Source organism: Homo sapiens, chromosome 11 (assembly GCF_000001405.40).
Source record: "Homo sapiens chromosome 11, GRCh38.p14 Primary Assembly".
NCBI classification, from domain to species: Eukaryota; Metazoa; Chordata; class Mammalia; order Primates; family Hominidae; genus Homo; species Homo sapiens.
In genome coordinates this window covers 56,559,863-56,586,948 of record NC_000011.10, presented here as the reverse complement: position 1 = coordinate 56,586,948, position 27,086 = coordinate 56,559,863, and the positions used below count along the sequence as shown (strand labels likewise).

General features: G+C 35.5%; 1 protein-coding gene across 1 annotated transcript; it reads left to right on the top strand.

Moving 5' to 3' along the window:
* The first annotated feature begins 9,227 nt into the window (after positions 1-9,227).
* Positions 9,228-10,175, top strand: OR5M10 (olfactory receptor family 5 subfamily M member 10). The gene has a single exon (NM_001004741.1). The coding sequence runs from the start codon at positions 9,228-9,230 to the stop codon at positions 10,173-10,175; it is 948 nt and encodes a 315-aa protein (NP_001004741.1).
* Positions 10,176-27,086: the final 16,911 nt, after the last annotated feature.

Below are 27,086 nucleotides of genomic sequence, written 5' to 3'. Positions count from 1 at the left end.
TCTCAGTAAACTATCGCAAGAACAAAAAACCAAACACTGCATATCCTCACTCATAGATGGGAATTGAACAATGAGAACACATGGACACAGGAAGGGGAACATCACACTCTGGGGACGGTTGTGGGGTGGGGGGAGGGGGGAGGGATTGCATTGGGAGATATACCTAATGCTAGATGACGAGTTAGTGGGTGCAGCGCACCAGCAAGGCACATGTATACATATGTAACTAACCTGCACATTGTACACATGTACCCTAAAACTTAAAGTATAATAATAGTAATAATAATAAATTAAAAAACAGAAACATTATATCTATCTCCTTGTTTTCATAGCAAGTCATCAATACATGTTTCTAAATTGAGAAAGAATAATTACAATTGAAGGCACATAGTGATGAAAGAAAAATTGTTGATTCTGACATTTGGAGCTGAAAATATTTAATAGCTACAATCTTTAAAAGTCAGTATTTGAAATGAAAAGTTCTTTTATATATGGTTGGGTGATCTGTTGGATAATGTTTTATTCTTCTTAAAGCAAGGTGTCCTTGTTCTTTGGACATATTTTCAGTGTTGTGAGTTGTCTTTCCTTGTCTCTGTCTCTTTCTCTCTGTTGCCCTCTCTGTATCACTGCCTTTCTCTCAATTCCTATTTCATAATTTGGTTTAGCTTATATTGTGTCTTACAGACTCTTCACATGTTGGCCTCAGCCTTACATACTTTCAGGACAATCTCAGTACAGACAAGGCTGCTGCTTGTTTTTGGAAATGACTCCTCTTGCCTGAAATGGCTCAAGTGCACAGCAGGTGTATGTGTGTTTGTTGGTGTGTATGTATTGTGTATGTTCATGTATGGTGCTGGTGGAGGTGCAATCATACAACGAGAATAATTTTTGCTCTACAATAGCTACTACCATTTATTTTACTTTTTGCAGTAAAATTTTTTTCTTACCCACTGCTCTGTTCATTAACAAACTTCTAGTTAGGTAAGAAGGTGTTATTAACTAAGAGTTTGTTAATGATAGTTTATCCTGTTCAGATGTGAGAAAGAATGTTAAAACTAGTGTCTACTCTATTAGGAGATACATTAGATGATCTCACATGCACAATTCCTATGTCCATTTTGCAAACATATTTACTGCACTGCCTATTATAATGCATAGAATTCTGTTGGTGGAAAAATACAAGTGTGTCCAGACATTTTCGCACTGGTTTGCTATGCTAATATTGTTATATGTTGAAAGTGCATGATTTGAGATTGACTGATGCATTGTCATTTTCCCCATAACTTGCCATATTAGATCACTACATTAATTTATTTTGCTTGCTGACTGTCTATTTGTTCTAACATTATTTTTTAAAACAATCAGAAACTTCTTAGTAGTATATGATACTCGCACATAATTGTTTGGACTAAATTAGCAGTTTGACCATCCTTATGAGGATCAGAACAAAATCAGATCATAAGACATGACAGAACACATATAGCTTTGAGACTAAAACCTTAAAAATGTGACTGTTTTCCTTCTCTTTTTTGAGGCTTCTTAGAGTTGAAAGCTTCATGTGTTTTCTCTTTTCTGTTTCTGTTATACTGCCTGACAGAAACATCACTTTACTTACCATGCTTATTCAGTGTACCTGCTTTTCAAGGAAAATGTAATTTGTGTGTTGGAAAGGAATTTGAAAAGTCACTGGTCACATCAGCCCACATGGATACTCTGGATTCTTATCTCCATAGAGAAGGCCAATAACCATTTGCCTTGACCACACCCAATTCCTACTTAAAACTCTTTATCTAACATCTAAGTTTCTCTTCTTCTTCTCTCCTTCTTCTTATTTTTTTTTTTTCTTTTAACCAGGCTTCCATGATACTGGGGACAAAAAAAGAGAAGATAAGAGATGAACTAGTGGCTTTCTGGACTCTCAACTTGAATTATTTGTTTTAAAAAAGTCTAGGGGAAAATGGGTTTGAGGAACACCTTAGCTTTCGATGCTTAAGCTTTTGACTTGTTGTAATCCTGGGTATGGAAAGAACTCTGATAACTTTGTGGCTCTGTTTTCTATTTGGTTTTGTTTTTAATGATTCTCTGGATGTTAAACATCTAGCAAGTAATTTGATTTGCTTAATTCTGAGGAAAGAAAAAATTTCCTTTGAGTTAAATTTATGGGGTAAATTCACTTACATTAAATGTAGGAACTTTAAGTGTGCAGTTCAGTAAAGTTTGACAAATGTGTACAGCCATGTTATCACAATTCCAATTTTCAAGGCTACTGTGCAGCTGGGAAGTGTGAGAATAGGGCAAGTAAAGATGCCACAAAGTTCACTGTCCTTACCAAGATTCAGGAATTTTTTCTTGAATAAATACTCACGGAATTGTTGCAAGCTTTTGATTACTTTCTAGTATCCAGAAACAGTTGACTTTGACTTTTTTTTAGTGTTCTCATGGTTTTCATGGAGGGACAGTTTTGGGAAGGTCATTACTATGTCAATCAGAAAGTTGATTCTTAGATAGATAGATAGATAGATAGATGATAGATTCATCAAGATTGTATGAACAGTTTGTTCATTTTTATTGCTGAGAGTAGTAACCCATTATAGGGATATACTATAATTGGTTCATCTATGCATCTGCTGATACATGTTTGAGACTCTGTATGGATATGTCTTCTTTTGCCTTGGATAAATACTGAAGAGCAAAATTTCTGTGTCATAGTTTTATGATGAACTATAAATTTATATAAAATTTTATAAAGGGCCACCAGTTTTTCACAGCCCATTGAATTATTTTCATTATTATATCTTGTTATGTGTTATAAGAGTTTCAGTTGCTTCACATTATCATTGTTAATCTTTGTATTGTCAATATTTTTTATTCCTCCCATTGAAGTGAGTGTGAAGTGTTACAAAGATAAACAAAGCCAGCTACCAGTTAAAGTAGTAAGGACAGATTTTATTCAGTAATATACTATTGCAATGGACAGGTAGGTTCACTGTAAACTGAACTCTAATTTTGTTTTCACAGAGATAACTGTGTATTCTAAAGGTAGAATGAGGAAATAGGAAGAGGCATGAGCAGGGCTCAAGAGAGTCAGAGAAGTAAAAAAATTACAAAAAGTGTGAAAGGAGTGTTGATCCATGTGAAACCCACCCAGGTTTGCCAACTGGCTCCTACCCTCCCTTGGGAGCTAGTAGACAAGAGCTCTTTCTCCACATATTGGCTGAAACAGACAGTATCTTTTGTTGGCAGCCTTGAGTTTTCTCAGGCAGGTTCTTCCAGGAGTACTACAGTCATCCCAGGGATATGGCCTTGAGCTGTTAGCCACTGTGTTTGTGTTTTGTTCAAGTCTTTTTAGGCCAAGGTTGAGGCCTAGTCAAGAAAGTGCTCAGAGGATTCTTTCTAGAGTTTGGTCCAGGAGGAAATCTTTGTTATGCGGTGTTTCATAATGGGCATAATTTACATTTTCTTGACAAATGCAGATGTTGAATTTCTTTTCATGTGATCGTTTGCTGTTCATGTATCTTCTTTTATGAAGTGTCTGCTCACAACTTAGACTTTCTTTTTTTTTTTAATTGAACTGTTTATATTTGGACCAGTGAATTGTGGGAGATATTTATATGTTCTTAATACCAATCATTTGTCAGAATTACTTACTATGAATAGTCTTCCTAGTCTATGGTTTGCCTTTTCATTATCTTAGCATTATTTTGAAGAATGCGTGTTTTAAAATTTGATGACACACACACACTTTATATATATATAATTATATATATATATTTTATTCACAATTAGTGCTTTTATTTTCTTCCTAAGAAATCTTTGCTTTCCTCAAGATCATAAAGCTATTCTTCCATTTTTTTTTTTTTCCTGGAGGACTTGTAGATTTAGCATTTACATTTAGAATTTTTATTTCCACCAATTTAGTTTTGAGTATTGGCATGTGGTGTGTTATAGGAAGTTAAATATTTTAATGAACATATCCATATTTTCCAGTAGCAGTCTCCATTAAAATACCTTTGCACCTTTGTTCAAAAATCCATTGGCTACATATACGAGTGGATCTATTTGTGATCTCTTTATTCTGTACACTTAACCTCTTCATCATCCTTAGATCCACACACTGCTTTGAATGCTATACTTCTTAGTAACTCTTAGGTGGATGATATTAACTTAAGGGACAGTTTTTCACATACTTTATTTTTTTCAAGAAAGCCTTCAGAAACCCCTGTTCAACTTGTGTTTGAAGACATTAAATGTTTAGTTAACCTGATTTTACTTCAATTACAATGATCAATTGATTGATGTCTGCTAGAAGTGCACCTAATTAATTAGTTATGTAAATACTACAATGGTCAGATAATTGGACACATGGTACTGACCATGGACATTTAAGTAGTGCAAATTATGCAACAATATTTGTTCACTTTCCAAAGGGGTTTTTGTGTTTTTATGACAGCATTTATTTTAGAATCAGATCATGAAGTTTTGCAAACATCATCCTGCTGAAATTTGATAGAAGTGGCTTTAAAATTATTGATAGATTTAGGAAGAATTAACACATTGACTATATTGAATATTCTAATGCACAAGTGAGACGTATGTCTTTATTATTTAGGTCTTCTTTAATTTCGCTCTGCAGACGTTTGTGCTTTTCAGTGTGTATCTTTTGCACACTTTTTATTTTTGTTTCTGAGTAGCTTATGATTTTATGTGATATTTTTAAGTTTTATATTCTACTGTGTATTGCTTTTATGTAACTGTATGAGTGTTTTTGGGTTTTTTTATTTTGTTTTGTTTTGTTTTTTTAGACAGAGTCCCGCTCTGTCACCCAGATTGGAGTGAAGTGGTATAATCTTGGCTCTATGCAATGTCTGCCTCCCAGGTTCAACGGATTCTCCTGCCTCTGCCTCCCAAGTAGCTGGGGCTACAGGCACGTTGCCATCACACCGGTTTCACTATGTTGGCTAGGCTAGTCTCAAACTCCCTACCTCAAATAATCTGCCCACCTCAGGCTCCCAAAGTGCTGGGATTACAGTTGTGAGCCATCGCACCTGGCCTGTATGAGTGGTTTTTGTGTATTGAATTTGTAATTGTAATCATATCATCTTCCAAAATATACACTTAATTTCCCATTTGTATATTTTAAAATAACTTTTATAATAAAGCATCATGTCATCTGTGAATAACACAGATTTGTTTCTTTTCAATTTGTATACTTTTTATTTAGTAGGTAGGACTTTCAGTACCATATTGAACCGACTACAACTTTTAAATAAAAAATAGCCAATTGAGTAATCACAAACACACAAGTAAAATCTTAAGGGCCAATAGGATGTATCCAACTGTCTGAACATGGTGTCATTTGTATAGCTAAATCCATTAGGTGTTCCACTAGCAGACATACATCAATTGGTCCTTCCAGCAGAAGCAAAGTGACATCGACTAAATAAACTAATGTGTTCAGTAATATAGATAGATAATATAAAACTTTCTGAAGGCTTTCTATGAAACATAAAATAAGCATGTGTAAAACTCATCTTTGAGTTAGTATAATATACATAGCTAAATCTGTATTCCCTAACCAAATCTATAAGTAAATTAATGTCACCTTCTAATGTGTGGACATCTGATCATGTGATCCCATATTAAAATTTTTGAGACTTTGCTCTTCCTCATCAAAAATAACCAATCCATTACTTTTTGTCTATCCATTCAGTTATTATTGAGCCAGAATCATTTGTAGTCAGAAGAGTCATTTTGTAACTCTTATGTTTTATTGAAATGTTATTGCATATTAACATATGTAAGAAAACAAATAAATGAATATACATATACATACACACATACTATAGGGCATATTGCCTTCAAATTGAAAGCTGCCATTCTGTTTAACAAAGAGCCAAATTGTCAATTAGTTTTATGCATTAAGGGATGAGGAAATGAGAGACACCAGTATTATAGTCCTATATGACCCTTCATTCTATAGAAATATTTAAGAAATACCATTTTATTTTTATTTATTTATTTATTTATTTATTTTTTATTTTATTTTATTATTATTATTATACTTTAAGTTTTAGGGTACATGTGCACAATGTGCAGGTTTGTTACATATGTATACATGTGCCATGTTGGTGTGCTGCACTCATTAACTCGTCATTTAGCATTAGGTATATCTCCTAATGCTATCCCTCCCACCTCCCCCCACTCCACAACAGTCCCTGGAGCGTGATGTTCCCCTTCCTATGTCCATGTGTTCTCATTGTTCAATTCCAACCTATGAGTGAGAACATGTGGTGTTTGGTTTTCTGTCCTTGCGATAGTTTGCTGAGAATTTGCTGAAAATTGAGTTTCCAGTTTCATCCATGTCCCTACAAAGGACAAGAACTCTTCATTTTTTATGGCTGCATAGTATTCCATGGTGTATATGCGCCACATTTTCTTAATCCAGTCTATCGTTGTTGGACATTTAGGTTGGTTTCAAGTCTTTGCTATTGTGAATAGTGCCCCAATAAACACACGTGTGCATGTGTCTTTATAGCAGCATGATTTATAATCCTTTGGGTATATACTCAGTAATGGGATGGCTGGGTCAAAAGAAATACCATTTTACTTTTAAATTAGTGCAAGGAATCAAAACCATACAGATAAAAACTGAGATAAGGCTTTAAACTCAATTTGAGGAAAAAAATAGCTATGCTCAAATCTCTCAAATTTCATGGGATGTAACAAATCTACATTTTGATTTTGATATATAGCTATATTGTGTTGACTGATTTCTCAAAGAATAACCACCATTTGTGATCTAAGAGAATTAGGGATGCCTCTTCTGTCTTGGTCAGAGCCCATTTTGATTCATTTGTGCTAACCTGGAACTATCAGTGCACTGGAAAATACAGACTAATGAACACATGTCTAGCTTCCCTTATCATCTAACAAATGCAGTGTAAACAAGTTTTAAATATTCTTCCTTCTATTTTCAGCCCTATTCCTAAGTCAACAATTTTATGACTCATCAATTTTATAAACGGTCCTGGTCTCAGACCTGTCTTTGATTCTTAGCTTGTTAATGACTTTCAATAGGGCAGACTAGTTCCAGCATAAATCCAGAACGTCCGTCCTCCAAAGGACCTGGGCCCTGACCAATACTTCTGCTTCCTTCTACTGATTATGTTGTCACTCTGCTGCTCTCCACATCCTTACAAATCCTTCCTTTCCTCAAGTCTTTCAGCTGCCACACCTTTCTACCCCTCACCCTCAGTAAAGGACCTCACCCCAGTGTCTATAGACAAAACTGGAGAGTTCTGATGAAAACCTTCTTGGTTTTATTATATTAAAATTACAAAACTTATCTATCTATATTTTCCTTCTTCCATATTATTGAAAGTGATGGCTAGTTTCTCTGTTTGTGCTAAAGCTCTGATGAACACATGTAACAAAACTGTACATAAATGTTGTATAGGGATTTCATCTTCAAAGGAGAATCTAGCTGTTCAAACTATCAAATAAATGTTAAGCCCTTGAGGAACAAAGGATATTATAATTGGTTCTTTAGAATTACTTTAAAAATACTCTAGGGAATATAGCTAAGAAATATATATCTTGCCACCTTGCTTTACAAACTATGGTGAGTTAACATTAACAGGTAGGTCATTTGCTACATTTGTTCACTAAAAATACAACTTTTTCTGTGTGTGGAGATTAGTATCCAATCAATAGAGGAAACCCATATTTTCATCAATTTCACTGGACTTTTCTATTCATATGTTAACATTTCATTGACTCTAAAATCAATTATATGCAAGCTCCTCTGATGTATATGTGAGAGCTAAATAAGCAATTTCTTTAGGGTGCAAATTTTTGAGCAATAATTTTTACAGTCATAGCTTATTTTCATGAAGAACTCAGAGAGAGTGGCTTGAGTTGGCAGCAAAGACTGCTTTTAACAATGTTCTGTGATTCTCTAACAATATTTTAATAAGTAGTTTAGTGGCATATAAATGGAGACAAAAAAACTTCACTCTCTTCCTTCAGGTGCTATAATTGTTTATTTACTGTTCAAATGTTGCATTCTCAGAAAAGGCTACTTTGAATAGTCATCTAAAAGAATCTCACATTCATTGTTCTTCACAGACCCAGCTTTTACTTGAAATTATAATATGTATCTTTCTCTGTGGGTTTAACCATTATTTCTCATATTATAATGTGAGCTCCATGAAACTGGAAAATTTGTTCACTCCAATAACCCCAGGAATTGTAATACACACAAAAAAATCAAGCTATGCAGTCAGTGTACATGAATAAACAGGCAGGTAAAATTTCAAAGTGAAAAAACAGTTCTTGGTTTTGTATATTCTTAGCCATATATCAAGCACTAAGTTTAACTAATTTAATGTTCACTGACAATCATAGGTTTCTGTTTGTTTGTTTGTTTGTTTGTTTGAGACGGAGTCTCGCTCTGTCGCCCAGACTGGAGTGCCCTGGTGTGATCTCGGCTCACTGCAAGCTCCGCCTCCCGGGTTCACGCCATTCTCCTGCCTCAGCCTCCCGGTAGCTTGGACTACAGGCGCCCGCCACTACGCCTGGCTACTTTTTTGTATTTTGAGTGGAGATGGGGTTTCACAGTGTTAGCCAGGATGGTCTTGATCTCCTGACCTCGTGATCTGCCCGCCTCGGCCTCCCAAAGTGCTAGGATTACAGGCGTGAGCCACCGCGCCCGGCCGACAGTCATAGGTTTTAAGTGAAAATGCTACCTTAATTTTTTTCTTCTGTTTTGTATCTGAAATAATAAGATATCAGACATGGAGGGAAACTGAAGATTGGACTTCCTACATTTATTTATTTAAATGATGCTAATATTAATATCTGATATTCATTTCTTTGTTTTTTTTGTTCCCTCACAAACCTTGAAAATAATTACCAAATGTAGAATTCACCAAGAAGACAAGTATAAATGCATTAATGTATAAATTTATAAATGTATATATATAAGAGACAGAAATAGAGAATGTGCCTGTGTGTGTGTGGGTTTGAGATACAAAAAGAGACAGAAAACACACACATATAAAGAGAAAACGTTGTGCAGAAATTCTGATGTGTTTATTGAAAAAAGTAATTGGTGCCTAGATGAATAGATGAATGAGTGAATGATAAATGGATGAAACAAATGCCAAATCTGGATCAGAGAGAATCCTCACATTCTTTGTCACTTTCAGTTTTCAAGAAATAAGAAGATGTTGTCCCCAAACCACACCATAGTGACAGAATTCATTCTCTTAGGACTGACAGACGACCCAGTGCTAGAGAAGATCCTGTTTGGGGTGTTCCTGGCGATCTACCTAATCACACTGGCAGGCAACCTGTGCATGATCCTGCTGATCAGGACCAATTCCCAACTGCAAACACCCATGTATTTCTTCCTTGGTCACCTCTCCTTTGTAGACATTTGCTATTCTTCCAATGTTACTCCAAATATGCTGCACAATTTCCTCTCAGAACAGAAGACCATCTCCTACGCTGGATGCTTCACACAGTGTCTTCTCTTCATCGCCCTAGTGATCACTGAGTTTTACTTCCTTGCTTCAATGGCATTGGATCGCTATGTAGCCATTTGCAGCCCTTTACATTACAGTTCCAGGATGTCCAAGAACATTTGCATCTCTCTGGTCACTGTGCCTTACATGTATGGCTTCCTTAATGGGCTCTCTCAGACACTGCTGACCTTTCACTTATCCTTCTGTGGCTCCCTTGAAATCAATCATTTCTACTGCGCTGATCCTCCTCTTATCATGCTGGCCTGCTCTGACACCCGTGTCAAAAAGATGGCAATGTTTGTAGTTGCAGGCTTTACTCTCTCAAGCTCTCTCTTCATCATTCTTCTGTCCTATCTTTTCATTTTTGCAGCGATCTTCAGGATCCGTTCTGCTGAAGGCAGGCACAAAGCCTTTTCTACGTGTGCTTCCCACCTGACAATAGTCACTTTGTTTTATGGAACCCTCTTCTGCATGTACGTAAGGCCTCCATCAGAGAAGTCTGTAGAGGAGTCCAAAATAATTGCAGTCTTTTATACTTTTTTGAGCCCAATGCTGAACCCATTGATCTATAGCCTACGGAACAGAGATGTAATCCTTGCCATACAACAAATGATTAGGGGAAAATCCTTTTGTAAAATTGCAGTTTAGGCCTGTGTTTATTTGTAATCCCTAAGTGCCTGTGGGGTAACAAACTGAAATGGAAAAACCTAGTGTAGTTATTATTTAACAGTATGGGCTCTTAGTAACCACTTTAGTTTCTTCTCAAAATTAACACTTTGAAGATTTAGTTTTTAAAAATAAAAAGCTTAATGTTGAAATTAATAATGTTTTATTTGTCAGAGATTCTATGAATATAAATTGTTTGGTTTCTAATAATTCTGTATGAAAATACTGGGTTTACTTACTTGGGGGTAAACTTTTAACTAACTTAGCCTGAGAGAAACTCTGAAAATCCAACCCCTTTGAATATTACTATCCATAGAGCCATAGTGAGGCTCCAGATAGGGTGGCTAATTTTACATTTTTAAAAAAATGATGCCGGGCATGGTGGCTCACATCTGTAATCCCAGCACTTTGGGAGCCAGAGATAGGTGGATCACCTGAGGTCAGGAGTTTGAGACCAGCTTGGCCAACATGGTGAAACCCCGTCTCTCCTAAAATTACAAAATTAGCTGGTTGTGGTGGCACATGCCTGTAATCCCAGCTACTCAGGAGGCTGAGGCTGGAGAATAGCTTGAACCTGGGAGGCGGAGGTTGCAGTGAGTCAAGATCACGCCATTGTACTTACTCCACTTGGGCGACAAGAGCGAAACTCCATCTCCAAAAAAATAAATAAATAAATAAATAAAAAGAAAACGAAAAAAGAAAAAAATTGTTTCTACTTCAATGTGGTGTCTTGAACAATAGTTCTGAAACCTGTGAACTTATTGTAATCACTGTGCAAAAAATGTAAATATATGAATCACCTATAAGTTAAATTTTCTGTAAGTATTCTCAAAACCCACACTGTAAACATCGTGAGAAGCTTCTTATTGGTTCATGTGGTAATACCAGTTATGGTCCTCAATTCTGAAAATCAACTCTCAACACCCTTTTTTTTTTTTGAGTTTTCAAGTGCATGGATCCATTTCTATCATCAAAATACTTCAATTGCATTCCACGTATGTTTTCCAGTGAAGTACCTCTGACTTAGGAATAATTTAGTAGGAATCAATAGGGTTTATCAATTGATATTTGCATATGCATAAATGACTTTGTTAGTGGAAAAAGGGGTCTTGATCCAGATCCCAGCAGGGGGTTCTTGGATCTACAGAGGAAAAATTTCAAGATAAGCTGCAAAGTGCAGTGAGAAGAGATAGTTCATTAAATGCTACTCCAAAGAGATCATTTATTAAAGGCTATTGCATTACAGAGTAAGGTGTTCCCAGAAAGCAAGTGGAGGAATGCACCCTCTTTAAGTTTTTTTAATGGTCTTTTATCTACGTACAGACTAAAGTAAGTTGTGGCTACATGTGGGTAGGCTGACGGCATGACAAAATTTATCATTCTGTTGATTTAAAGAAAACGATCCTTGATATTTTAGTGTGTGCATAACTATTATTATCATGATAAAAGCATATACTCTTATGAGAATTGGGACACCTAGGTTCTCTTGCTGCATTATTAGCGTGTTCTTGTAGGTATTTTTAGGCTGTTTCCTAAACTATAAGCATCTTATGAACATGGGTCATGACCGGCCAGGACTGTGCCTTGTTAACCTCAAGACAGAGTTGATTTTAAAATGTTGTCACCCTGGATCTCCTAGACTCCTGCTTCTTTAACACCCTGAAACAGTATAAAAATTAATAGGGGCGTACGTATCTTTTTGGAGGAAATAGTGTTTATTTTGCTTCACACAACTGTCTGTGGCACATTATTTTTTTACATTAGGGTATTCTAGTTCTCAAAGCTACTACAGGGAAAATCAATCACAAAGAGGCTAAATAAAGATACACATTAATCAATGTATTATTTAGTCAACCAGATGACTGCATATTAATACATACATATTTAGCCCTATTAAATTGCCTCTTATGTTTGACATTTTAATATTTTGCACTCTGCTTTTAACTAACACTATACAGAAAATGCTACAGAAAATGCTTATATGATATCAACTACTGTATCTACTATAAAATGTTCAAGTGGTTTTCCAGAATATTAAACAGATGACTAACAGTTTTTGTAAAATTGGGTTATATTCTTAAGTGTCAGTTGGTTGAATAAGTCTGGTTCTATCCAAATCTGCTTTTAGAAACAGTAACTGAAAAAGAAAGAAGGCAATTTTGGGCAGCAACAATTTAATATTTACCTTTTAGCACTATTTGTGTATTTGCCTGGTTTTGGCAATGGCAGTGGCACAACAGAAGCAGGTGATCTGTAGAGACAAGAGTGAAGCAGAAGAGCTGGGAACTGAGTGACACAGCGTCCTTACTTCCTTTTAGAGGCCCAGCATCATTTCATCTGTGGGATATTTCTTTATCTTATGACAACATCATTTAATCTGTGGGATAGCTCTTTATATTATTCTTTTATCTTCCTCTTTTGGTTAGGCAAAGCATTGTGTTCAATTTCTAGCAAGTAGAGTGGTCTGATACTCTATTTGAAAACTGTATTTTAGAATTGGTACAAACACACTCTATATTTTGCCTAAATAACTGTATACTTCCTTTTATTTTCTAGTTATGAGAATTGCTGTGGCTTGCAGCAACCAAACTTAAACTTTGACACCTTTGTAACCCAAATGCTTGACCTGTTTGTAATCTCTTTTTTTTAAAATATGTATTTATTTATTCTATTTGTAATTTAATTTTTTAATTGTGCAAGCCCTTGGGTAAAAGTTATCTCAGAAATTCTTTGGAGATAGAATAGAACATAAATGGACATGAATAGAAATAGTGACAATTGATGTAATCATAGTGTATTGCTAATTTTAGGATTACTGTTTTTTCTTTTCTTAAATGAAAATGAAGTAGTGAGAGAATTATTATCTTCATTTACAATATTTGGAGTCTTAGACACAGAGAGATGAAATGACTTGCCTAACGTCATTTGGCCACTCAGTAGCACAAAAGCAGATTTCTTGGTTTTAAATTTTCTCTCTTTCTAATTCATACTGAAGTGGTTATTAAGCCATTCTTCAACACACTTCAAATGCTGGGGGGAATATTGGAGACTATGAATTAATAAGAGTGTTACTATAGATTAAATAGTGGTTATTATGTGATAGTGAGATGTATCCTAACAACAGCTAATGTGAATTTTCCCTGACAGTCAGGCTAATGTGATCATTTATATGCATGATAATTAAAATTGTCTTAATATCCATGTGAAGGGAGAAAATTTTGATATATGGGAAACCTTTATGCTTCTTAGGCTGCATTTTATTAATATATTTTCCCAATTATAAAAGCACACATATTTATATTAATTAATTTCCAGGTACAGACAAATATAAAAACATAAAATTTATTAAGGACCTGCTATGACAAGGAATAAGTTTTGTTTATATTTTGTTATATTTCTTCTCAATAAATGTATATGACTACATGTTACTATAATGCACAAAACAAATATAAAGTTACTCACCATATAATAATATGAATACAGATTTTCATTTGATACTATAATGTATGCACCTTTACATAGATTAAATATTTTATGAACATTTTTAATGTCATATTTTAATTAGCTTGTGTGATCCTAATACAATATTAATACATGTCAAATGTAGAAAACCAATGAACCATATTGGCATACATAAGAAATAGAAGCAATGCTTACTTGTAATCAACTACCTGAAAAGAGTTGCTCTCAGCATTCACATGTGTTTTATTCCATTTGATTATCTTGCAAATCATGATTCCATCATATCAATGTATCTTAGTATTTTGATGACCGACGTATCTGTACGTCTCTCTCTAATTGTTCCTTTTGTTATGTTCCCAGAAGTGTAATTGCTGAATTAAATGTTTTGAACATTTTTAAAGGTCTTGCTAAACATTTCTATGGATAAATTTTTATCCAGAAAGCTTGTAACAAACCTGTACCACTAATGTTTGAAAACAATCATTTTACTATAACTCTATCAGCAGTAGGAGCTCTTGTTTATGGTTATATGCTACTTTGATCTCTCAAAGGAAGTTTTAGAAACAAACTCTGTTTTAATTTGCACAGATTAGAAATTGAAGAATATATTTAACAAATAAAGGCTACATATAATAATTTTCTTTCATGTTATGATGGTGTCTTACATGAAGAATATTTGTATTTTTATGGAGAAAAATTATATTTTGTTTATTGTTGTTTTGTAACTTTTTCTTATGCCACAATTGAATAAACAAGCACTTATATGGGGTTATTGGCTTTCATTGCAATATTTTATGGGAATATCATGAATTATCCTGGATATAATTTTGTTGCATGTTTTAATGTTGTAAATTACTTTTGTGCCCTCACATTTTTAACCAACTTCCTCCAAGTGTTATTAAGCACTGCTTTCCCACTGATTTGTGATGTCACCTTTATTATACCTTAAGTCAATCTATTTCTGCCCATTTCCACTGTTTTTTTTGTCTGAATTATAAATATATTTTAAACTAAATTCTTATCATTAAATTGAACATATATTTTAATTTCTGGTGAAGATATTTTTGTCTTCAATTTTCTCTTAGGAGATTGAAAATCAGATACTTTTAGCTATCCAAATTTTTAACTCAGAAATTATAATATTATGATTCAATTTAGAAACTGTATGTATAGTTGTATAATTTTGAATGTAGTTGTACATACAATACTTATACATTATAAAGCAATTAAAAAATAAGGAAAATTATTTTACTGTCTATGGTGGCCATAGGGAGAACTGCTTAAGGATGAAATATTTTGAATGAGTTGTTTGTTTTCCAGAAAGTCAGGAAGATGCTGGTGTCTGGTAAGTGAGGAGAAAACACCTAACCTTGGTATATTAATTCTATGGATTTATTAACACTGTTATACAAATACTTATGTTTTCACCATACCAGTGTATGGTGAAATCATCATGTAACATTTTTTTTCAACAAATATCTCTAAATACAGTCTCTTTTTCTTACAAAGAGGTTTTTTTCCCAGCAATTACCCCCAAAAGAACTGAGAGGGCCACATATGTTTTTCCACTATGAGTCACTTCAAACACTGAACAAAAAAGGATTAATCAGAAAGACAATAAATATTTAAATTTAAATAATCAGAGAATAATATATCTGTGCTTCATAACAGTGGGAAAAATTTGTAGTAAAAAGAGTAAGCAAATTGCTTTAATTTGAAGATAAAACTATTTAAAATTAAGAGGCACCCTACAATTTGGCAATGTATTTGCCACAAACAAGATAAATTGGTAAAATTATTGAAATACAAGAAATTAATAAAAATAATTTGAAGCACTAAAGAATCAATATATAAATATCAAAGACTATAAGTAAAAAATTGATTAAAATACAAAAATGCTAAAATTAACACACAAAATATTAGCAACCAAAAATATGATGTAAGATATTGTTTGATATATCTACATTTAAAAGAGCTGATATAGATTGGCACTTTCATACATTGATTGATTAAGGGTATAAAGTTTTTCTGAAAATAAATTTAATATTTAATAGGTTGGTACAAAAGTAATCTTGTTTTTTTGCCATTAAAAGTAACAGCACTTATTTTTTTTCTTACCAACCTAATATTATTATCATATTAAGGAGACAAAATTTTCTTATGCTTTTATTCAGCTATTTCAATTTTAAGAATCTACTGAAGGCATAAGAAACTTGTGTGAAGAGTTTCATGGTGTTGTTTTTATTTTATAATCAAGACAAAGTAAACACATGATGTATTAAATACAAATAGTTCCTGCTTGGCATGGTACCATGTAACAGAAACCTTTCCATACTGGAAACGTGTCTTAGTTTTTGTGGTTCTTAGTTCCTACAAAATCACAAAGTGAGAACTGCCTGCATTTAATAACTGGTAAAATACAGGCATCCACCAGATGGGATAGAAGCTGTCTCTAACTAAGTAGAATGTCATTAGCCTTGATCATGAAGGAAAGTGTAAAGTACAGGTGAAACGTTTTTTGTAATAGAAAGTTATACAGCCATTAAAGTGAGGATGTTCCTAGTTAAGAAAAAGGTAATTCATTTTATGTAATATATTATGTGCAAAGATATATCCTATGCTGTATACAGTGTGATATCTTGTAAAATATTAGGGATAAGGGGAAATAAAACTTGTTATTAATAGCTATGTCCATATTTAAATAGTCATTGCTATTGTGAGAAAATAAGGCAACAAAAACTGTGTATTTTCAGTTTAGTCCAGATCTCAGGATGTATAATTACAGGATACTTATTTATTAATATTGGAATTTAAATATGAAAGTAAGGAAAAGCAAGGAAAAAGCAAGGTAAGAAAAAGAAGAGGTCCCCAATTCTGGTTTCCAGCACAGAATGACCAATGAACAACTTCTCAGAGAAAAATGCCCATGTGAAAATTCCGTAACCCATGGGTGAGGTGGGGCACACTCTTGGAGCATAAAAACTGGAAAAAACCACATTAGAATTGTTAAGAGGAGCAGTTTCACTTGCTTCTTTCCCAGCCAAACACAGTGTCACACTGAAAGAGATTCCCTGGGCCTGTGGTTTCCCCAGTGAAGAAAAGAGAGCCCACGGCAGACATCCAGCTTCCCTATGTTCCAGAGAACTTCCCAAGAGGCCCATTCTGTCTAACCTTGTGGGTAATAACGGAAGACTTGGCAAAGCTTGGCCACCCCAGTCAGCTCATAACAAAGTTAAGGGGTGTAGCTTACGGCAACCAGCACCCGATCTTGGTGGTGGCATCATGTTCTAGCTGGCAGCTTTATGTGACCAGAGAGCCCAGCCACTAGCATTGCTCACATGTGGAGCTGAGTTGGCAGGCCCTTTCGGTCAGGAGGCATGTTGAACAGTTCTGTCTGGCTGTGGTACCAGTCAGTAAGCTGGACCAGCTGCAGAGCACAGCCTAGAGCACCACCCAACCATAAAGCACAACTTGCAGCCCACCCCACTCAGGTAGAGATCCAAGCCAGCAACCCCACTCAACCGCTGGGCATAGCCTGCAGTCCCATCTGACGACGGAGTCTGGTCAATTATCTCTCCAAACTACAGAGCACATCCAGTAAAACTTCCCAATTATGGATCAGCTTGCAGCCCCAAAAAACTGCAGGAAATAGCCAGTGGCCCTATCTGGCCAAGAGATCTGGTCAGTGATCTCACCTAAATTTGGAGCAAAGGCAGTGACCCCATCAATCTGTGGACCACAGCCAGCAGCCCCACTCGAATACATACCACAGTGAATGGTCTTACCTGATTATGGAGCCCAGTCAGCAGCCCTGAGTGATTTTGGATCCTAGCCAGCATACTCACCCACCTCAGAGCACAGGCAGCAGTCAGAGGTCATGTGACTAGAGTCAGCTTTCAAATTCATCAAGTCCTGGTTCCACCTCTTACTCCCTATGAAATCTCAGGCAAATTATTTAACCTCTACTCCTATGCCCCAATTTGTTTGTTTGTTTGTTTTCACAGTACTTATCATCACCTGCCATATATTTGTTTGTGGGTGTATTTGTCATCTATCTCCTCCAGCAAAAAACATTATCAATAAAGTAGTTTTTAATTTTTTTTGAGCAACAGCTATATTGAGTTATATAGTGGCTATACTAATTTACATTTTTGCCAATAATGTACGAGCATTCCTTTTTCTGTGTATCCTTGCAAACCTCTGTTCATTTTTTTGTCTTTTTAATGACAATCATTACAAATTGGTTGAGGTTATACTTCATTATGGTCTTGATTTGCATTTCATTTATGATTAGTGAATTAAACCTTTTTTTCATATACCTGCTGACAATTTGAATATCTTCTTTTTGAAGCTTTTGATAAAATCCAACATCTCTTCATAATAATAATAATAAAAAAATACTCAACAAACTAGGCATTGAAGAGACATACCTCAAAATAATAAGAGCCATCTATGGCAAACCCACAGCCAACATCATACTAAATGGGAAAAAGCTGAAAGCATTCCACCTAATAAATGGAACAAGACAAAGATGTCCTCTCTCATCATTCCTATTTCACATAGTACTGCAAGTTCTAGCCAGAGCAATAAAGCCAGAGAAAGAAATATAAGGCATCCAAATAGGAAAAGAAGTCAAGCTATCTCTCTTCACTGATAATATGATTTTATACCTAGAAAACCCTAAAGACTACACCAAAAAGCTCCTAGATCTGATAAACAACTTTATTAAAGTTTCAGGATACAAAATCAATGTATAAAAATATTAGCATCTCTATACTCCCATAACATTCAAGCTGAGAGCTAAATCAAGAATGTAATCCCATTTACAATAGCCACACGCACAAAAATAAAACACCTAGGAAAACAACAAACCAAGGAGGTGAAAGATCTCTACAAGGAGAACTACAAAACACTACTGGAAGAAATCATAGATGATATAACAAATGGAAAATCATCCCATGTTTATGAATTAGAAGAATCAGAATGCTAAAACAGCTATATTGCCTAAAGCAATCTACAGATTCAACACTATTGCCATCAAGCTAATGACACTATTTACATAGAATTTGAGAAAACTTGCCTAAAATTTATATGGAGCCAAAAAAGAGACTGAATAGTCAAAGCAATCCTAAGCAAAAAGAACAATACTGGCAGCATCAAATAACCCAACTTCGAACTATACTACAAGGCTACAGTAACCAAAAAAGCATGGTACTGGTACAAAGAAAGACCCATAGACAAAATGAAACAGTGAACCCAGAAATAAAGTCAGACATCTACAACTGTCTGATCTTTAATAAGTTGATAGTAATAAACAATAGGGAAAGAACTACCTATTCAATAAATGGAGCCAGGATAACTATTTAGCCATGTGCAGAAGAGTGAAACTGGACCCATACCTGTCACCACATATAAAAATTAACTCAAGATGGATTAAAGACTTAAATATAAGGCCTAAAGCTATAAAAATCCTGGAAGAAAACTGAGGAAATACCACTCCGGACATTGGCCTCAGCAAAAAATTTATGAATAAGTCTCCAGAAGCAATTGCAATAAAAATAAAAATTGAAAAATGGGATGTAATTAAACTAAAGAGCTACTGCATAGAAAATAAATTAACAGAGTAAGCAATCTAAAGAATGAAAGAAAATGTTCAAAAATGATAAATCCAACAAAAATCTAATATCCAGAATATATAAGAAACATAAACAATTCAACAGGCAAGAAACCTCCCCCTAAAACCATTAAAACACATGGACACAGGGAGGGGAACATCACACACTGGGGCCTTTTGTGGGGTGGGAGGCTAGGTAAGGGATACCATTAGGAGAAATACCTAATGTAGATAACGGATTGATGGGTGCAGCAAGCCACCATGGCATGTGTATACCTGTGTAACAAACCTGCACGTTCTGCACATGTACCCCAGATCTTAAAGTATAATAAAAAATAGGCAAAAGACATAAACAGACACTTCTCAAAATGAAGCATACATGTGGCCAAAAAATATATTAAAAATACAGTATCATTAATCATCAGAGAAATGTATATCACAACTACAATGAGATAACATCTCACACCGGTCAGAATGGCTATTATTAAAAAGTGAAATAAATAACAGACATTGGTGAGGTTGTGGAGAAAATGGAATCCTTATACACTTTTGGTGGGAATGTAAATTAGTTCATCCACTGTGGAAGCAGTTTGGAAATTTCTCAAAGAACTTAAAACACAAGTACCATTTGACCCAGCAATCCTATTACTGGGTATAAACCCAAAGGAAAGTAAATAATTTTACCAAAACCACATGCACTTGTGCAATCATTGCAGCACTATACACTGTAGCAAAGACATGGAATCAACGTAGATAACCATCAATGATGAACGGGATAAAGAAAATATGATACATACACACTATTGAATACTATGAAGCCATGAAAATGAAATCATGTCTTTTGCAGCAACATAGATGCAGCTGAAGGCCATTATCCTAAGTGAATTAATGTAGGAACAGAAAACCAAATGTGCCCATGTTCTTATTAAAGGTATGAGAGAAACATTGAATACACATGAAAAATAAAGGAGAACAAGCAACACTGGGGGTTAATAGAGGGGGAAGAGCTGGGGAGTGCAGACTGAAAAATGATCAGACCAATGGAACAGAATAGAGAGCCCAGAAATAAGACCACACATCTATGACCATCTGATCTTCAACAAAGCTGACAAAAACAGGCAATGGGAAAAGGACTCCCTATTTAATAAATGGTGCTGGGATAACTGGCTAGCCATATGCGGAAGATTGAAGCTGGACCCCCTTCCCTATACCACACACAACAATCAACTCAAGATGGATTAGAGACTTAAATGCAAAACCCCAAACTGTGAAAACCCTAGGAGAAAATGTCGGCAGTATCATCCTAGAAAAAGAAATGGGCAATGATTTCATGACAAAGACACAAAAAGCAATTGCAAAAAGAAAAAAGCAAAAATTGACAAGTAGGATCTAATTAAACTTAAGAGCTTCTTCACAGCAAAACAAACTGTTAACAGAGTAAAAAGACAGCCTATGGAATAGAAGAAAATATTTCCAAACTATGTATCTGACAAAGGTCTAATATTCAGCATGTTTAAGAAACTTAAATTTACAAGAGAAAAGCAAACAACACATTTAAAAGTGGGCTAAGATGCTGGCAACAGTGGCTCATGCCAGTAATCCCAGCACTTTGGGAGGCAGAGGCAGGTGGATTATCTGAGGTCAGGAGTTCAAGACCAGCCTGGCCAACATGGCAAAACCCTGTTTCTACTAAAAATACAAAAAATAACTGGGCATGGTGGTGCGTGCCTGTAATCCCAGCTACTCTAGAGGCTGAGGCTGGAGAATCACTTGAACTCAGGAGGTAGAGGTTGCAGTGAGCCGAGATTGCACCACTGCACTCCAGCCTGGGCGACAGAGTGAGATTCTGTCTCATAAATAAATAAATAAATAAATAAATAAATAAAATACATAATAAAAGTGGGCAAAGAACATAAACACTTCTCAAAAGAAGACATACATGCAGCCAACAATTATATGAAAAAAGGTCAATATCACTGATTATTAGAGAAATGCAAATCAAAACCACAATGAGATGCCATCTTACACCAGTCAGAATGACTATTATTAAAAAGTAAAAAAATAACAGATGCTGGTGAGGTTGCAAAAAAAAAGGAACATTTTTATACTGTTAGTGGGAGTGTAAACTCGTTCAGCCACTGTGGAAAGCAGTATGGCAATTCCTCAAAGAGCTAAAAGCAGAACTACCATTTGATCCAACAATCCCATTACTAGGTATATACCCACAGAATTATAAATCATTCTACCATAAAGATACATTCATGTGACTGTTCATTTTGGTACTATTCACAATAGCAAAGGCATGGAATCAACTTAAATGCCCATCAATGACAGTTTGGATAAAGAAAATGTGGTGCATACACACCATGTAATACTACATAGCCATAAAGAAGAAGAAGATCGTGTCTTTTGCAGGAACATGGATGGATCTGGAGGCTATTATCTTTAACAAACTAATGCTGAAGCAGAAAACCAAGTACCGTATGTTCTTATTTATAAGTGGGAGCTAAATGATTAGAACTTACAAACACAAAGAAGGAAACAACAGACACTGGGGTCTTCTTGAGGGGGGAGGGTGGGAGGAGGGATAGGAGCAGAAAAGATAATTATGGGTACAAGGCTTAATACTCTGGTGATGAAATAATCTGTGCAACAAACTCCCATCACACATGTTCACCTATGTAACAAACCTTCACATGTATCCCCAAAACTAAAATAAAAGTTTTTTTTTTTTAAAGGAAAACTGTTGGGTACTATGCTCACTACCTGGGTGATGGGATCATTTGTATACCAAATATCAGTGACATTCAATTTACCTATGTAACAAACTTGCACATATACCCCTGAAACTAAAAATAGAAAAAATTATTAAAATAAAACAAAAAAGAAAAAAGATGAAAAAGAGATATCTATAATCATTTGCACATTTCAATCAGATTTTTAAAAATTTATTTATTTTGAAATTGAGTTGTTCAAATTTCCTATGTAACCTGAATATTAGTCCCTTGTCAGATGAATGATTTGTAAGTATTTTCTCCCATTGTGTAGGTTGTCTTTTCACTCTATAGATTACTTCTTTTGCTGTGCAGAGATTTCTTTTGTTTGATGAAATCCTGTTTATCTATATTTGGTTTTGTTGCCTGTGCTTTAGAGGCCTTATCCAAAAACTCTTTACCTAGACCAATGTCTAAAAGTATTTTCCCAGAGTTTTCTTCTAGTAGATTTATAGTTTCAGGTCATACATTTGTCTTTAAAACATTTTGATTAGATTTTTGTATAGTAGTCTATGATAGTCTTTTATATGTCTGAGGAATTGATTGTAATGTCACCTTTGTCATTTCTGATCGTGCTGATTTGGATCTTCTTTCTTATTTTCTTTGTTAATCTAGCTAGCAGTCTATCCATTTTGTGTATCCTTTCAAATAAACTTTTGGTTTTATTGGTTTTTGGATGTATTTTGGGGTCTCAGTTTCATTCAGTTTTACTCTGATTTAGTTATTTATTTTCTTTTACTGGCTTTGGAGTTAGTTTGTTGTTTTATAGTTCCTCTAGGTGAGATGTTAGATCATTAATTTGAGAACTTTCTAACTTTTTGAGGGAAGTGTTTAGCGCTGTACACTTTCCTTTTAACACTGATTTTGCTGCATCCCAGAGATTTCGGTAAGTTGTGTCTCTGTTTTTATTTATTTCAAATATATATTTTGTTAATTTCTGGTTTAGTTGTTTGCCCAAAAGTCATTCAGTAGCAAATTGTTTAATTCCCGTATAATTTTGTGGTTTTGAGAGATCTTGGTATTGATTTTTATTTTTATTCCAGTGTTCTCCAAGAGGGAGTTTGACATGATTTTATTTCTTAATTGATTGACACTGGCTTTATGGCCTAGTATGTGATCAACCTTCCAGTATGTTCCAGGTGCAGAGGACAAGAACGTATATTCTGTGGTTATGGGTGGAGTACTCCGCAGATGTCTATTAGGTCCAATTAATCAAGTGTCAAATTTAAGTCCAGAATTTATTAGTTTTCAGACCTTGATGACCTAAGGCTGTAATTGGGGTGTTGAATTCCCCTACTGCTATTGTGTGGCTTTTTAGGTCTTTTTGTCAGTCTAGAAGTACTTGTTTTATGAATTTGGGTGCTCCAATGTGGGGTGTGTATATGTGTAGGATAGTTAAGTCTTCTTGTTTAATTGAACCCTATGTCATTAGGCAGTGCCCTTTTTGTCATTTTTTCCAGTTTTTGGTTTACAGCTTCTTTTATCTGACATAACAATAGCAACCCCTGCTGTCTTTTATTTTTCATTTGTCTAGTAGATTATTTTTCATCCTTTTACTTTGAGCCTATGTGAGATAGATCTCTTGAAAATTGCAGATGGATGGATCTTATTTTTTATCTAACTTGCTACTCTAGTATATGCCTGTCTTTATAGGTAAATTTCTTGAAGACAGCACATACTTGAGTATTGATATTTGTTTGTTTGTTTTTCTTTTGTTTTACTTTTTTTTCCATTGAGCAGTCACTCAGCGTCTTTTAATTGTAGAATTTTGTCTATTAACATTGAAGAGTATTATTGTTAGGTAAGAGTTTACTACTGCCATTTTGTTATTTCTTCGCTTGTTGTTTTCTAAATCCTTTATTTCTTGTGTTCTATCTTACTGTATTACTCTGTAGTTAAGTAATTTTCTTTAGAAGTATGTTTTGATTCCATGCTATGTTTTTGTGTATCTGTCATAGGTTTTTGTTTTGTGGGTACCGTGAGGTTTACAAAAAAAATCTATAGTATAACAGTTCGTTTTGAACAGATAATGACTTAATTTTGATTGCAAATAAAAGCATCAAAAACCAACTCTACACTTTTAATATGCCCTACACACATTTTGACTTTTGGTGTTTCAATGTACATGTTTTTATATTGCCTACTTCTAAACTGTAGTTATTGATGGTTTTAATAGTTTTGTATTTTATTCTTCATACTTATGATACAAGTGGTTTATTTACCACAATTATAGTATGACAGTATTCTGATTTTGAATGTTCTTTTACGAGGGAATTTTATACATTCCAATGTTTTCCTGTTACATGTTAGTACCCATTTCTTTCAGACTGAAGAACTCTCTTTAGCATTTCTTGAAAAACAGGTCTGGTGTTGATGAATTTCCTCAGCTTTTGTTTTTCTGCGAAAAAAAAATCTTTATTTCACCTTCATGTTCGAAGAATAACTTTAATGCACATAATATTCTTCCTTGAAAGATTTTTTCTCTTATCATCTTGAGTATAGCATACCATTTCCTCTTGACCTGCTAGCTTCTGTGAGAAATCTGCTGAAAGCCATATTCAAGCTCTGTATTACTCTGTTCTCACATTGCTAAACAAAATTACCTTAGCCTGAGTAGTTTATAAAGTGAAGAGGTTTAATTGACACACAGTTCCACAGGCTGTACAGGAGGCATGGCTGGGAGGCTTCAGGAAACTTACAATCATGATGGAAGGTGAAGGGGAAGCAAGCACATCTTCACATGGCGACAGAGGAGAGAGGGTAAAGGGGAAAGTGCTACACACTTTTAAACAAACAGATCTCATGAGAACTCTATCATAAGATAGCACTAGGGGAATGGTATTAAACTATTAGAAAACACCCCGATGATCCATTCACCTCCCACCAGGCCCCACCTCCAAAACTGGGGGATTACAATTCAATATAAGGCTTAGGTGGGAACACAGAGTCAAACCATATCATTCTGTCCCGGTCCCTCCCAAATTTCATGTTCTTCTCACATTTCAAAACGCAATCATGTCTTCCCAATAGTTCCCCAAAGTTTTAACTCATTCCAGCACAAACTTAAATGTCCAATTCCTCATGTCCAAATGTCCAAATGTCCAAAATCTCATCTGAGACAAGGTCCACAGGTAAGCCTGTAAAACTAAAAACAAGTTATTTACTTCTAAGATACAAGGGAGTTACAGGCAGTGGATAAATGCTTCTGTTCCAAAAGGAAGAAATTGGCCAAAATAAAGGAGCTACATATGCCATGCAAGTCCAAAATCCAGAAGGGCAGTCATTAAATCTTAAAGCTCCAAAATAATCTCCTTTGACTCCATGTTTCACATCCAGGCCACACTAATGCAAGGGTTGCTCTCTCAAGGCCTGGGGCAACTCCACCCTCATGGCTCTGCAGGGTGCAGCCCTGTTGGCTGCTTTCACAGGCTGATTTTGAGTGCTTGTGGCTTTTCCAGATGCATGGCACAAGCTGTGAGTGGAGCTACCATTCTGGTTTCTGAAAGATAGTGTCCCTTTTCTTACAGATCCATTACGCAGGACCCAGTGGGAACTCGGTGTGGGGGCTCCAACCCCACATTTTCCTTCTGCATTGCACTAGTAGAGGCTCTCTGTGAGGATTCTGCCCCTGCAGCAGACTTCTGCCTGGATATCCAGGCATTTGCATACAACCTCTAAAACTTAGGCAAAAGCTCCCAAGCCTTAATTCATGTCTTCTGCACACCCACAGGCCAGACACTATGTGGAACTTGCCAAAGCTTGGGGCTTGCACCCTCTGAAGCAATGGCCCAAGCTGTACCTTGGCACTTTTTAGTCCTGACTGGAGTTGGAGTGGCTAGGACGCAGGTCATCATGTTCTGAGGCTACACAGAGCACTGCAGACCTGGGTCTGGCCCCCGACATCATTTTTTCCTATTTGCCCTCTGAGCCTATGATGGGAGTGGCTGTAATAAAGGTCTCTGAAATTTCTTGGAGGCATTTTCCCCACTGTCTTGGCTATTAACATGTAGCTCCTCTTTATTTATGCAAACTTCTGCAGCCTTGAATTCCTCCCTATAAAATGGGTTTTTCTTTTCTACCACATGTTCAGGCTGCAAATTTTTCAAACTTTCATGCTCTGCTTTCCTTTTAAATATAAATTCCAATTTCAGACCATCTCTTTGAAAATAGAGAAGAAGCCAGGCTAATTCTTGAATGCTTTGCTGCTTAGAAATTTCTTCCACCAGGTACCTGAATTCATCTCTCTCAAATTCAAAGTTCCACAGCTCTCTAGAGCAGGGGCACAATGCCACCAGTCTCTTTGTTAAAGCATAGCAAGAGTTACCTTTACTCCACTTCCTAATAAGTTCTACATCTCCATCTGAGACCACCTCAGCCTGGACTTCACTCTCCATATTACTATTAGTATTTTGTTCACCACCACTCAACAAGTCTCTAGGAAGTTCCAAACTTTCTCCTCTTCCTGTCTTCTTCTGAGCCCTCCAAACTGTTCCAACCTCTGCTTGTTACCCAATTACAAAGTCGATTCCACATTTTTGGGTATCTATAGGAATGCCCCACTTCTCTGGTACCAATTTTATGTATTAGTCCATTCTCACATCACTGTAAAGAACTAACTGAGATTGAGTAATTTATGAAGAAAAGAGGTTTAATCGATTCACCGTTCCTTAGGCTGTATAGGTAGCATGGTTGAGAAGGCCTCAGAAAACTAACAATCATGGTGGAAGGGCAAAGGGAAAACAAGCACATGGCAAGAGGAGAAAAACAGAGCGAAGGGGGAAGTGCTACACACTTTTAAATAACAGATATTGTGAGAACTCTAACACAAGGCAACACTAGGGGAATGGTGCTAAACCATTAGAAATCACCCCCATGATCCAATCACTTCCCACCAGGTCCCACCTCCAGCAGTAGGAGACGGCAAATTTAGATGAAATTTGGGTGGAGACACAGAGCCAAACCATATCAGTCTCCATTAAATGTGATATTTTTCTCTTGCTGATTTGAATATTATTTCTTTGTCTTTGATTTTTCCTAATTTGA

Excerpts from the sequence above, each read along its gene's own strand:
- OR5M10 (NM_001004741.1), top strand. The coding sequence starts at position 9,228 with ATGTTGTCCCCAAACCACACCATAGTGACAGAATTCATTCTCTTAGGA.